The following is a 15297-nucleotide window of genomic DNA, read 5'->3' on the forward strand; positions in this document are numbered from 1 at the left end:
AGACTTCTCCAGATGAACCGTTCAGTATTCTTTAATAAATTTCCGTTCTCTTTAAAACAGCCAGATTTGCTATATCTTGCTTGCAACTGAGAATCGTGACTGATACTTTCAGTATGTCAGAGAATAAACTGCATGCCCACAAGGACTTCAGAACTTAGCCCTTCCTTTTGTATACAGACTAGGTGATCTTGCACAAGTAATTTTAATTTTTTTTTTTTTTTTTTTTTGAGACAGACTTTCACTCTGTTGCCCAGGCTGGAGTGCAGTGGCGCAATCTTGGCTCATTGTAACCTCCACCTCCTGAGTTCAAGTGATTCTCCTGCCTCAGCCTCTGGAGTAGCTGGGATTACAGACGTGCGCCATCACACCCAGCTAATTTTTGTACTTTTTAGTAGAGACAGGGTTTCACCATGTTGGCCAGGCTGGTCTCGAACTCCTGACCTCAAGTGATCCACCCACCTCAGCCTTCCAAAGTGCTAGGATTACAGGCATGAGCCACCGCGCCTGGCATAATTTTTTTTTTAATGTTGGTGTTGTCTTGATTTTCTAAATCATTTGATGATAACATTTGGACCTCATACTCTAGATTGTGCGGAGCTAGGACTGAAAGTGTGGGAACCTGTAGAACAGCTGTAATAAGAAACATAAGGAAGATGAGGAGACCCTTGTATGAAATTACACAAATCCAAGGTGTTTTCTCCTATGAGCCTTTCATGGAATTGTAAGAGGTAGAATAAAGGCCCAAATTATTTTGTTCTGTTACAAGAACACTGATTGCTAAACTCATATTCATTTAGGACTTTTGGGGGCTCCAAAATTTATCTACTCAAAATTAGCAGAATTGTATGGAGTGGTGTGAACAGAGAGGCCCCAAACCAAAAGCAGGTGATTACATTTGCTATAGGTAAAACAAACTTCAGTGTGACAAAAAAGAATGCTCAAGAACATTGATGAGTGTTTTCTTTTAAGCTAAGTTGCCAATTAAACTGTACCAGCAGTAACAGCGCCGTATTATGCCATAATGATCCCAGAAGAGATAGACTTTAAAATATGGTCCCGCTAAGCCCGGTGGCTCATGCCTATAATCCCAGCATTTTGAGAGGCCAAGGCAGGTAGATCACTTGAGCCCAGGAGTTCAAGACCAGCCTGGGCAACATAGTGAGACCCTGTCTCTAGAAAAAATCCAAAAATTAGCCAGGCATGGTGCTGCACGCCTGTGATCCCAGCAACTCAGGAGGCTGATTTGGGAGGATCACTTGAGCCCAGCAGGTTGAGGTTGCAGTGAGCCATGATAGTGCCACTGCACTCTCTCCAGCCTGGGCGATGGAGTGAGACCGTGTCTCAGTAAAATAAAGTAAAATAAAATAAAATCCTAAATTTATAAATTTGAGAAATCATCAAATTCACTCCTATGAGGAAAATCATTATTTCAACGGAAATATTAAGTATTCAAACAACTTGACAGAACATACTGTAGAAAAAGATTTATTTTTTTGTGTCCTCTACTATAATGTAAGCTCTGTGATAGTAGGGTCTTTCCTTGTACATTTCCATGCTGTGCTCCCAACACATGGTAGGTGCTAAATCAAACTTGACTAGAGGGAAGAGGCACTCATAACTCCTTTAGAATTTGTGAAGAAAAGTGCATTATATATGGTTTATTTTCCTGACCATATCTTTGCAGCACACTTTTATCAATGAGTATTTTTAGGTGGTAAAACAGGTTACTGTTTAGTCTCTATTCCTTTTCATTCCTACATAAATGAGTGCTAACTAACAAGTCATATCTCAGTTAGGTCTTGCTTGTTCTACACATTACTTCTTCTTTTAGGACTTTCTGTTTTCATTGTTGAAGAGAAGTTAGTTAGACACAAAAGAACTTGACTTGGACACTCTTGGATTTCTCCACATAAGTCAGTATAAAGTATGTTTTATTTGATGATGTGACAGAATGTAAAGAAGTGTTTTAAATCTGGAAAACAGTTTTAGTAAAGTATAAGGGTTTAGAAACCTCTATGAATCTCTAATATTCTCCCTCTATTTTAAGCAATTGAAGAACTCTTGAAAGATAGCTCTTAGACTTTCCAGAGAGAGTTTCCTTCTTTTTCCTTTTTTTTTTTTTTTTTTTTTGAGACAGGGTCTTGCTTTGTTGCCCAGGCTGGAATGAAGTGGTGCAATCACAGTTTACTGCAGCCTCAATGACCTCCTGGGCTCAGGCAATCCTCCCATCTCAGCCTCCAGAGTAGCTGGGACTACAGTCATGAGCCACCATACATGGCTAATTTTTTTTGTATATTTTGTAGAAACAAGGTTTCACCATGTTGCCCAGGCTGGTCTCAAACTCTTGGACTCAAGCGAGCCACCCACCTTGGCCTCTCAAAGTGTTGGGATTACAGGCATCAGCCACCATGCCTGGCCAAGAGTAGTTTCTATCTAAATTGTCAATTTGTTTATGAGTCTGCCATCCTCCATCTACTTTGCATAACTAATATCACACACAATATTAATAATGTTCTTTCATATTGGGATTGGGAATGAGAATTTAATTTTAAATGTATTCCACAAATAATTTGATAGTTGCTTCCGTAAATGTCATTTTTAATGTACTTAAACTGTTTTCCCAACAACTCTGGCAATAAGCCATACTATGTGGCAAAGGCTTTCGTTTTTTTCTTGGATTAAATAAAACAACATATTTACTTTCATTTTTGTTTGACTTTTAACAACTTATTGCTGTGACTCACTCTGCTAACCTTGAATTTTAAAAATAAATAGTAGTTTCTGGTCATCTTTAGTTTTCTCACCATTTTTTAAAAAGAAAAAAACTGAATACAAACTTAACAAGAACATAAAGTGCCTCTAACTATTCTATTACATTTACATTCCAATTCCAGAAGACAGACAATTGTATTAGTTTCCCAGGGCTGTCCTAACAAGGTACTTCAAACTGGGTGGCTTAAAACAACAGAAATGTGTTGTCTCATAGCTCTGGAAGCTGGACATCTGAAATCAAGGTGTGGTTGGCAAGGCCATTTTACCCCAGTAGGGGAAAACCTGCAGGGAAATCATTCTTTGCCTCTTCCTCGCTGTGGCAGTTTGTCAGCAATCTTTGGCCTTCCTTGGCTGGTAGATGCATCACTCCAATCTTGATTTCCAGCCATCTTCCTATAAGCCCACCCTTCTTCAGTATAAGCTTGTCTTAACTTCTTGACTAATTAGATGGGCAATGATCCTATTTCAAATAATGACCCAATCTGAAATAATGGGAGTTAGTGGCTTCAACATATCTCTTTTGAGGGGACACAATTCAACCTATATCAACTATTTTGCTTTAAAAAACTAACAATTATTTGTATAGTATGGTTAATTCCAATTATATTATTAAAAGTATTTCTTGGCCAGGGACAGTGGCTCATAACCTGCAGTCTCAGCACTTTGGGAGGCTGAGGCGTGTGGATTGCTTGAGCCCCAGAGTTCAAGACCAGCCTGGGAAACATGGCAAAACCCCACCTCTACAAAATATACAACATTAGCCAGGTGTGGTGGCTCATGCCTATAGTCCCAGCTACCCAGCTACTCGAGAGGCTGAGAGGTGGGAGGATTGCTTGAGCCTGGGACGTCGATGCTGTCGTGAGCGGGGATTGCACCACTGCACACTCCAGCCTGGGTGACAGAGCAAGGCTCTGTTTCTAAAAATAAATAAATAAAAAGCATTTCTTAGAAGAAAAATTTGATCTAGCAATTTGAAAGGAAAACTTGAATGTGGTTCAGCAAAACCATGAGAAGAGGCAGTGTCATGTGAGTTAAGACACATCAAGAAGAACAGAGGTTTAGGGAGCAGGTAGACATATTTCTCCCCCTTTTGTTCATGACATGTCATCATCTACAAACATCTGGAAGAAAGAAAAATCTGATACATGTGGGTTTGCTAATTGCTATGGACTGAATTGTGATCCCCTAAAATTCATATGTTGAAGTCCTAACCCCCAATATGATAGTATTTGGAGATGAGGCCTTTATGAGTAATTACATTTAGATGAGGTCCTGGGAGTGAAGGGACCTGGGATTAGGTGCTGATAAGAAGAGAACACCAGAGAGCTTGCTCTCTGTCTGTCTCTCTCCTCTGTGTGAAGACACAGTCAGAAGGTGACCATCTGCAAACTAGGAAGAGAGGTCTCACCAGACCCTGATCATACAGGCACCCGATCTTGGAATTTCAGCCTCAGAACTGCAAGAAAAAAGGTTTCTGCTGGTTAAGCCACCCAGTTTATGGCATTTTGTTAAGGCAGCTCAAACTGACTAAGAAAAGGATGCAAAAACAGATTCATTCAATAAAATCTTGCATTAAAATGTTGTTTTCAAATAACTAAGCAATGCAGATATCAGGGCCAAGAGTCAATTCTACATGAGTAATGCTGAGGGAAAGTGGTCCACAGACTGGTCAGGGGTGCAGAGGACAGAGGATTTTGCCTGCTGGTCATGAATACAATGACTAGGCAATATCTTTCCCCACCATCCAGGAGATTTAGAGTCAAATTATTGATCATCTTTGCAGGGGATGACCTTGTAATAATAATGACAAACACACACAAGGCACTTACTGTGAACTTGACACTATTCTAAGCACTTTAAAAAACCTTAGCAACCCTATGAAGTAGGTACTATGATTCTTCCCATTTTATAGATGAGGAAATTGAGGCACAGATTAAATAATTTGCCCTGGTTGCCGCTATGAAGTAATAGAACCCAAGTCCATGTTCGCAATTACTCTGCTATGCTGCCATAAAGTTTCATATTCAGGAATCAAACCACTAATCTCTAAGCAATAATGCACTTCCTTAATAATATGGTTCTTTTTGTAATAATACAAAATTCTAGTATGTACTGACTTAGAGCAGTGTATGTGTGTGTGTGTGTGTATGTGTGTGTCAGAAGTCCAAAGGTCAAAAACACATATCACCAGAAATCATCATAATTTAAATACTCTGAAACACATCCAATTCCAGTGGAATTAATTTCCTGATAGCATCTTTACATTATTGTAAAGATAATTTGGACTTTGGTCCAAATGTTAAAAAAATATATAATTGTTTACACTTGGACTTTGATATTCTGCACAGGCGTATGAACCTACCCACTTCCCTTTACAAAATCGTTAGAAGAAGAATTAAGTTAGAGCTAAATTGCTAAAATTTGACAAAAATGAATACTGTAAATGTTTTAAGAAAAAGTTCATGTTCTCTTACAAACAATTTTGGATTATCCATATTAAGCAAATATCTCAGGGTAGATCATTGTTCCTTATGATAATTGATTTAAGCCTTATTACTAGATGGTATAAAATCCCAGAATTGACAACTGAACCTACCAGAAGCACAGAGTGATAAATTTTTCACAAACACTTTGAAATATTGATAAGTAGAAAATGTGTCTGTATTTCTCTTTTCCAATACATTTAACAGTGGTTGTATTTTAGAATGTAGGTGTTCTATTTATGCTGTTTAACTATTGATAATGTCTCTTTATGTATGAGCTGATATTTGTAAATGTGTGTATATTTATAAACATATATTTGTGTGTATATATGTACACACATAGATTGTATATACACATATTTATTATCATTCATGTCTGTTTTTGAAGAGGCTGAATTGTGTGCACAATTTCTGAACTTTTTTTAATATATATATAGTTTAAGTTCTGTAATACATGTGCAGAACATGCAGGATTGTTACCCAGGTATACACATGCCATGGTGGTTTGCTGCACTGATCAACCCGTCATCTACATTAGATATTTCTCCTAATGCTCTCCCTCCCCTAGCCCCCAAACCCCTGACAGGCCCTGGTGTGTGATGTTCCCCTCCCTGTGTCCATGTGCTCTCATTGTTCAATTCCCACCTGTGAGTGAGAACATGTGGTGTTTGGTTTTCTGTTCCTGTGTTAGTTTGCTGAGAATGATGGTTTCCAGTTTCATCCATGTCCCTGCAAAGGACATGAACTTATCCTTTTTTATGGCTGCATAGTATTCCATGGTGTATATGTGCCACATTTTCTTTATCCAGTCTATCATTGATGGGCATTTGGGTTGGCTCCAAGTCTTTGCTATTGTGAACAGTTCTTCAATAAACATATGTGTGACAGTTCTTCAATAAACATATGTGTGCATGTGTCTTTATAGCAGCATGATTTATAGTCCTTTGGGTATATACCCAGTAATGGGATTGCTGGGTCAAATGGTATTTCTGGTTCTAGATCCTTGAGGAATCGCCACGCTATCTTCCACAATGGTTGAACTAATTTACACTCCCACCAGCAGTGTAAATGCGTTCCTATTTCTCCACATCCTCTCCAGCACCTGTTGTTTCCTGACTTTTTAATGATTAGCATTGTAACTGGCGTGAGATGGTATCTCACTGTGTTTTTGATTTGCATTTCTCTAATGACCAGTGATGATGAGCTTTTTGTTATATATTTGTTGGCTGCATAAATATCTTCTTTTGAGAAGCACTTGTTCATATCCTTTGCCCACTTTTTAATGGGGTTGTTTGTTTCTTTCTTGTAAATTTGTTTAAGTTCCTTGTAGATTCTGGATATTAGCCCTTTGTCAGACGGATAGATTGCAAAAGTTTTCTCCCATTCTGTAGGTTGCCTGTTCACTCTGATGACAGTTTCTTTTGCTGTGCAGAAGCTCTTTAGTTTAATTAGATCCCATTTGTCAATTTTGGCTTTTGTTCCCATTGCTTTTGGTGTGATAGTCATGAAGTCCTTCCCCGTGCCTATGCCCTGAATGGTACTGCCTAGGTTTTCTTCTAGGGTTTTTACGGTTTTAGGTCTTACGTTTAAGTCTTTAATCCATCTTGAGTTAATTTTTGTGTAAGGTATAAGGAAGGGGTCTAGTTCCAGTGTTCTGCATATGGCTAGCCAGGTTTTCCCAACACCATTTATTAAATAGGGAATATTTCCCCATTGCTTGTTTTTGTCAGGTTTGTCAAAGATCTGATGGTTGTAAATGTGTGGCATTATTTCTGAGGTCTCTGTTCTGTTCCATTGGTCTATATATCTGTTTTGGTACCAGTACCATGCTGTTTTGGTTACTGTAGCCTTGTAGTATAGTTTGAAGTCAGGTAGCATGATACATCCAGCTTTGTTTTTTTTTTTTTTTTTTTGCTTAGGATTGTCTTAGCTATACAGGCTCTTTTTTGGTTCCATATGAAATTTAAAGTAGTTTTTTCTAATTCTGTGAAGGAAGACAATGGTAGCTTCGTGGGGATAGCATTTAATTTATACTTTGGGCAGTTTGGCCATTTTCATGATATTGATTCTTCCTATCCATGAGCATGAAAAGTTTTTCCACTTGTTTGTGTCCTCTCTTATTTCCTTGAGCAGTGGTTTGTAATTCTACACATCCTTCACATCCCCTGTAAGTTGTATTCCTAGGTATTTTATTCTCTTTGTAGCAATTGTGAATGGGAGTTCACTCATGATTTGGCTCTCTGTTTGTCTATTATTGTTGTATAGGAATGCCTGTGATTTTTGCACATTGATTTTGTATCCTGAGACTTTGCTGAAGTTGCTTATCAGCTTAAGGAGATTTGGGGCTGAGATGATGGGGTTTTCTAAATATAAAATCATGTCATCTGCAAACACAGACAATTTGACTTCCTCTCTTCCTATTTGAATACCCTTTATTCTTTCTCCTGCCTGATTGCCCTGGCCAGAACTTGCAATACTGTGTTGAATAGGAGTGGTGAGAGAAAGCATCCTTGTCTTGTGCTTGTTTTCAAAGGGAATGCTTCCAGCTTTTGCCCATTCAGTGTGATACTGGCTGTGGGTTTGTCATAAATAGCTCTTATTATTTTGAGATACCTTTCATCAATATCTAGTTTATTGAATTTTTAGCATGAAGGGGTTTTGAATTTTATCAAAGGCCTTCTCTGCATCTATTGAGATAATCATGTGGTTTTGTTATTGGTTCTGTTTATGTGATGGATTATGTTTATTGATTTGTGTATGTTGAACCAGCCTTGCATCCTCAGGATGAAGCTGACTTGATCATGATGGATAAGTTTTTTGATGTGCTGCTGGATTCGGTTTGCCAGTATTTCATTGAGGATTTTCGCATCAATGTTCATTAGGGATATTGGCCTGAAATTTTCTTTTTTTGTTGTGTCTCTGCCAGGGATTGGTATCAGGATGATGCTAGCCTCATAAAATGAGTTAGGGAGGAGTCCCTGTTTTTCTATTGTTTGGAATAGTTTCAGAAGGAACCGCATCAGCTCCTCTTTGTACCTCTGGTAGAATTTGGCTGTGAATCCATCTGGTCCTGGGCGTTTTTTGGTTGGTAGACTATTAACTGCTGCCTCAATTTCAGAACTTGTTATTGGTCTATTCAAGGATTCAACTTCTTCCCGGTTTAGTCTTGAGAGGGTGTATGTGTCCAGGAATTTATCCATTTCTTTTAGATTTTCTAGTTTATTTGCATAGAGGTGTTTATGGTATTCTCTGATGGTAGTTTGTGTTTCTGTGGGATCCGTGGTGATATCCCCTTTATCATTTTTTATTGTGTCTATTTGATTCTTCACTCTTTTCTTCTTTATTAGTCTGGCCAGTGGTCTATTTTGTTAATCTTTTCCAAAAACCAGCTCCTGGATTCACTGATTTTTTGATTTTTCGTGTCTCTATCTCCTTCAGTTCTGCTCTGATCTCAGTTACTTCTTGTGTTCTGCTACCTTTTGAATTTGTTTGCTCTTTCTTCTCTAGTTCTGTTAATTGTGATGTTAGGGTGTCAACTTTAGATCTTTCCCTTTTTCCTGTGGGCATTTAGTGCTATAAATTTCCCTCTAAACACTGCTTTAGCTGTGTCCCAGAGATGCTGGTACATGGTGTCTTTGTTCTCATTGGTTTCAAATAACATATTTATTTGTGCCTTAATTTTATTATTTGCCCAGTAGTCATTCAGGAGCAGGTTGTTCAGTTTCCATGTAGTTGTGTGGTTTTGAGTGAGTTTCTTAATCCCGAGTTCTAGTTTGATTGCACTGTGGTCTGAGAGACTGTTTGTTTTGATTTCTGTTCTTTTGCATTTGCTGAGGAATGTTTTACATCCAATTATGTCATCAATTTTAGAATAAGTGCTATGTGGTGCTGAGAAGAACGTATATTCTGTCGATTTGGGGTGGGGAGTTCTGTAGGTGTCTATTAGGTCTGCTTGGTCCAGAGGTGAGTTCAAGTCTCGAATATCCTTGTTAATTTTCTGTCTCGTTGATCTGTCTAATATTGACAGTGGAGTGTTAAAGTCTCCCACTATTATTGTGTGGGAGTCTAAGTCTCTTTGTAGGTCTCTAAGAACTTGCTCTATGAATCTGGGTGCTCCTGTATTGGGTGCATATATATTTAGGATAGTTAGCTCTTCTTGTTGCATTGATCACTTTACCATTATGTAATGCCCTTCTTTGTCTTTTTTTATCTTTGTTGGTTTAAAGTCTGTTTTATCAGAGACTAGGATTGCAACCCCTGCTTTATTTTGTTTGTTTGCTTTTGCTTTCCATTTGCTTGGTAAATATTCCTCCATTCTTTTATTTTGAGCTTACATGTGTCTTTGCACATGAGATGGGTCTCCTGAATACAGCACACCAATAGGTCTTGACTCTTTATCCAATCTGCCAGTCTGTGTCTTTTAATTGGGGCATTTAGCCCATTTGCATTTAAGGTTAACATTGTTATGTGTTAGTTTGATCCTGTCGTTATGATGCTAGCTGGTTATTTTGCCCATTAGTTGATGCAGTTTCTTCATAGTGTTAATGGTCTTTACAATTTGGTATGTTTTTGCAGTGGCTGGTACTGATTGTCCTTTCTATATTTAGTGCTTCCTTCAGGAGCTCTTGTAAGGCAGGACTGGTGGTGACAAAATCTCTCAGCATTTGCTTATCTGTAAAGGATTTTATTTCTCCTTCACTTATGAAGCTTAGTTTGGCTGGATATGAAATTCTGGGTTAAAAATTCTTTTCTTTAAGAATGTTGAATATTGGCCCCCACTCTCTTCTGGCTTGTAGGTTTCTTCAGAGAGATCCACTGTTAGTCTGATGGGCTTCCCTTTGTGGATAACCCGACCTGTCTCTCTGGATGCCCTTAACATTTTTTCCTTCACTTCAACCTTGGTGAATCTGATGATTATGTGTCTTGAGGTTGCTCTTCTCCTGGAGTATCCTTGTGGTGTTCTCTGTATTTCCTGAATTTGAATATTGGCCTGTGTTGCTAGGTTGGGGAAGTTCTCCTGGATAATCTCCTGAAGAGTGTTTTACAACTAGGTTCCATTCTCCCCATCATTTTCAGGGAAATCAAACGTAGGTTTGGTCTTTTCACGTAGTCTCATATTTCTTGGAAACTTTGTTCATTCTTTTTCATTCTTCTTCCTTTAATCTTGTCTTCACGCTTTATCTCATTAAGTTGATCTTCAATCTCTAATATCCTTTCTTCCACTTGATTGATTTGGCTATTGATACTTGTGTATGCTTCAGAAAGTTCTTGTGCTGTGTTTTTTGGCTCCATCAGGTCATTTATGTTCTTCTCTAAACTGGTTATTCTAGTTAGCAATTTCTCTAACCTTTTTTCAAGGTTCTTAGCTTCCTTGCATTGGGTTAGAACATGCTCCTTTAGGGATATCACCACCGATCCCACAGAAATACAAACTACCATCAGAGAATACTACAAACACCTCTACGCAAATAAACTAGAAAATCTAGAAGAAATGGATAAATTCCTCGACACATACACCCTCCCAAGACTAAACCAGGAAGAAGTTGAATCTCTGAATACTCCAATAACAGGCTCTGAAATTGAGGCAATAATCAATAGCTTACCAACCAAAAAGAGTCCAGGACCAGATGGATTCACAGCCGAATTCTACCAGAGGTACATGGAGGAACTGGTACCATTCCTTCTGAAACTATTCCAATCAATAGAAAAAGAGGGAATCCTCCCTAACTCATTTTATGAGGCCAGCATCATCCTGATACCAAAGCCTGGCAGAGACACAACCAAAAAAGAGAATTTTAGACCAATATCCTTGATGAACATTGATGCAAAAATCCTCAATATAATACTGGCAAAACGAATCCAGCAGCACATCAAAAAGCTTATCCACCATGATCAAGTGGGCTTCATCCCTGGGATGCAAGGCTGGTTCAATATATGCAAATCAATAAATGTAATCCAGTATATAAACAGAACCAAAGACAAAAACCACATGATTATCTCAATAGATGCAGAAAAGGCCTTTGACAAAATTCAACAACGCTTCATGCTAAAAACTCTCAGTAAATTAGGTATTGATGGGACGTATCTCAAAATAATAAGAGCTATCTATGACAAGCCCACAGCCAATATCATACTGAATGGGAAAAAACTGGAAGCATTCCCTTTGAAAACTGGCACAAGACAGGGATGCCCTCTCTCACCACTCCTATTCAACATAGTGTTGGAAGTTCTGGCCAGGGCAATTAGGCAGGAGAAGGAAATAAAGGGTATTCAATTAGGAAAAGAGGAAGTCAAATTGTCCCTGTTTGCAGATGACATGATTGTATATCTAGAAAACCCCATTGTATCAGCCCAAAATCTCCTTAAGCTGATAAGCAACTTCAGCAAAGTCTCAGGATACAAAATCAATGTACAAAAATCACAAGCATTCCTATACACCAATAACAGACAAACAGAGAGCCAAATCATGAGTGAATTCCCATTCACAATTGCTTCAAAGAGAATACAATACCTAGGAATCCAACTTACAAGGGACGTGAAGGACCTCTTCAAGGAGAACTATAAACCACTGCTCAATGAAATAAAAGAGGATACAAACAAATGGAAGAACATTCCATGCTCATGGGTAGGAAGAATCAATATCGTGAAAATGGCCATACTGCCCAAGGTAATTTATAGATTCAATGCCATCCCCATCAAGCTACCAATGACTTTCTTCACAGAATTGGAAAAAACTACTTTAAATTTCATATGGAACCAAAAAAGAGCCCGCATCACCAAGTCAATCCTAAGCCAAAAGAACAAAACTGGAGGCATCAGGCTACCTGACTTCAAACTATACTACAAGGCTACAGTAACCAAAATAGCATGGTACTGGTACCAAAACAGAGATATAGATCAATGGAACAGAACAGAGCCCTCAGAAATAACGCCGCATATCTACAACTATCTGATCTTTGACAAACCTGACAAAAACAAGCAATGGGGAAAGGATTCCCTATTTAATAAATGGTGCTGGGAAAACTGGCTAGCCATATGTAGAAAGCTGAAACTGGATCCCTTCCTTACACCTTATACAAAAATCAATTCAAGATGGATTAAAGACTTAAACGTTAGACCTAAAACCATAAAAACCCTAGAAGAAAAACTAGGCATTACCATTCAGGACATAGGCATGGGCAAGGACTTCATGTCTAAAACACCAAAAGCAATGGCAACAAAAGCCAAAATCGACAAATGGGATCTAATTAAACTGAAGAGCTTCTGCACAGCAAAAGAAACTACCATCAGAGTGAACAGGCAACCTACAACATGGGAGAAAATTTTTGCAACCTACTCATCTGACAAAGGGCTAATATCCAGAATCTACAATTAACACAAACAAATTTACAAGAAAAAAACAAACAACCCCATCAAAAAGTGGGCGAAGGACATGAACAGACACTTCTCAAAAGAAGACATTTATGCAGCCAAAAAACACATGAAAAAATGCTCACCGTCACTGGCCATCAGAGAAATGCAAATCAAAACCGCAATGAGATACCATCTCACACCAGTTAGAATGGTAATCATTAAAAAGTCAGGAAACAACAGGTGCTAGAGAGGATGTGGAGAAATAGGAACACTTTTACACTGTTGGTGGGACTGTAAACTAGTTCAACCATTGTGGAAGTCAGTGTGGCGATTCCTCAGGGATCTAGAACTAGAAATACCATTTGACCCAGCCGTCCCATTACTGGGTATATACCCAAAGGACTATAAATCATGCTGCTATAAAGACACATGCACACATATGTTTATTGCAGCATTATTCACAATAGCAAAGACTTGGAACCAACCCAAATGTCCAACAATGATAGACTGGATTAAGAAAATGTGGCACATATACACCATGGAATACTATGCAGCCATGAAAAATGATGAGTTCATGTCCTTTGTAGGGACATGGATGAAATTGGAAATCATCATTCTCAGTAAACTAGCACAAGGACAAAAAACCCAAACACCACATGTTCTCACTCACAGGTGGGAATTGAACAATGAGAACACATGGACACAGGAAGGGGAACATCACACTCTGGGGACTGTTTTGGGGTGGGGGGAGGGGGGAGGGATAGCATTAGGAGATATACCTAATGCTAAATGACGAGTTAATGGGTGCAGCACACCAGCATGGCACATGTATACATATGTAACTAACCGGCACATTGTGAACATGTACCCTAAAACTTAAAGTATAATAATAATAAAATAAAATAAAAAATAAAAAAATAAAAAAAAAGAACATGCTCCTTTAGCTTGCAGGAGTTTTTTTTACCCATCTGCTGAAACTTTCTTCTGTCAATTCGTCAAACTCATTCTCTGTCCAGTTTTGTTCCCTTGCTGGCAAGAAGTTGTGATCCTTTGGAGGGAAGAGGTGTTCTGGTTTTTGGAATTTTCAGCCTTTTTGCACTGGTTTTTCCTCATCTTCGTGGATTTATCTACCTTTGGTCTTTGATGTTAGTGACCTGTGGATGGGGTTTTTATGTGGACATCCTTTTTGTTGATGTTGATGCTATTCCTTTCTGTTTTTTAGTTTTCTTTCTAACAGTCAGGCCTCTCTGCTGCAGGTCTGCTGGAGTTTGCTGGAGGTCCACTCCAGACCCTGTTTGCCTGGGTATCAACAGTGGATGCTGCAGAACAGCAAAGATTGCTGCCTGTTCCTTGTCTGGAAACTTCATCCCAGAGGGTCACCCGCCAGATGCCAGCCAGAGCTCTCCTGTATGAGGTGTCTGTTGACCCCTGCTGGGAGGTGTCTCCCCATAAGGAGACACGGGGGTCAGGGACCCACTTGAGGAGGCAGTCTGTCCCTTATCAGAGCTCGAGCACTGTGCTTGGTAGATCCACTGCTCTCTTCAGAGCTGGCAAGCAGGAACATTTAAGTCTGCTGAAGCTGTGCCCGCAGTAGCCCCTTCCCCCAGGTGCTCTGTCCCAGGGAGATGGTAGTTTTATCTAGAAGCCCCTGACTGGGGCTGCTGCCTTTCTTTCAGAGATGCCCTGCCCAGAGAGGAGGAATCTGGAGAGGCAATCTAGCTACAGAGGCTTTGTCGAGCTGCAGTGGGCTCCACCCAGTTCAAACTTCCCAGCAGCTTTGTTTACACTATGAGGGGAAAACCACCTACTCATGCCTCAGTAATGGTGGATGCCCCTCCCCCAACCAAGGTCAAGCATCCCAGGTCAACTTCAGACTCCTGTGCTGGCAGTGAGAATTTCAAGCCAGTGGATCTCAGCTTTCTGGGCTCCATGGTGGTGAGATTTGCTGAGCTAGACCACTTGGCTCCCTGGCTTCAGCCCCCTTTCCTGGGGAGTGAAGGTTGTGTCTGGCTGGCATTCCAGGTGCCACTGAGGTACGAAAAAAAAAAAAAAACTCCTGCAGCTAGCTCGGTGTCTGCCCAAATGGTCTCCAAGTTTTGTGCTTGAAACCCAGGGCCCTGGTGGCATAGGCACCCAAGGGAATCTCCTGGTCTGCAGGTTGCCAAGACCATGGGAAAAGTGTAGTATCTGGGCTGGAATGCACCATTCCTCACAGCACAGTCCCTCGTGGCTTCCCTTGGCTAGGGGAAGGAGTTCCCTGACCCCTTGCACTTCCCAGGTGAGGTGACACCCCACCCTGCTTCAGCTTGCCCTCCGTGGGCTGCACCCACTGTGTAACCAGTCCCAGTGAGGTGGGCTGTGTACCTCAGCTGGAAATGCAGGCCAGGTGTGGTGGTTCATGCCTGTAATCCCAACATTTTGAGAGGATGATGTGGGTGGATGGCCTGACGTCAGGAGTTCTAGACTAGCCGGCCAACATGGTGAAACCCCGTCTCTCCTAAAAATACAAAATTAGCCAGGCGTGATGGCACATGCCTGTAATCCCAGCTACTCGGTAGGCTGAGGCAGGGTAATTGCCTGAACCTAGGAGGCAGAGGTTGCAGTGAGCCGAGATCACACCACTGCACTCCAGCCTGGGCAACGAGAGTGAAACACCATCTCAAAAAAAAAAAAAAAAAAAAGGAAATGC

At 40.0% G+C, this 15297-nt stretch overlaps 1 annotated feature.

Moving 5' to 3' along the window:
- Window positions 13642-14533: an enhancer, noted in NCBI's record as "H3K27ac-H3K4me1 hESC enhancer chr4:41910569-41911460 (GRCh37/hg19 assembly coordinates)". NCBI's record gives its function as "activates a minimal SCP1, AML or CMV promoter by ChIP-STARR-seq in naive H9 embryonic stem cells {active_cell/tissue: H9 hESC(naive)}" and the evidence as "EXISTENCE:reporter gene assay evidence [ECO:0000049][PMID:30033119]".

The sequence above is a fragment of the Homo sapiens genome, chromosome 4 (assembly GCF_000001405.40).
Source record: "Homo sapiens chromosome 4, GRCh38.p14 Primary Assembly".
NCBI classification, from domain to species: Eukaryota; Metazoa; Chordata; class Mammalia; order Primates; family Hominidae; genus Homo; species Homo sapiens.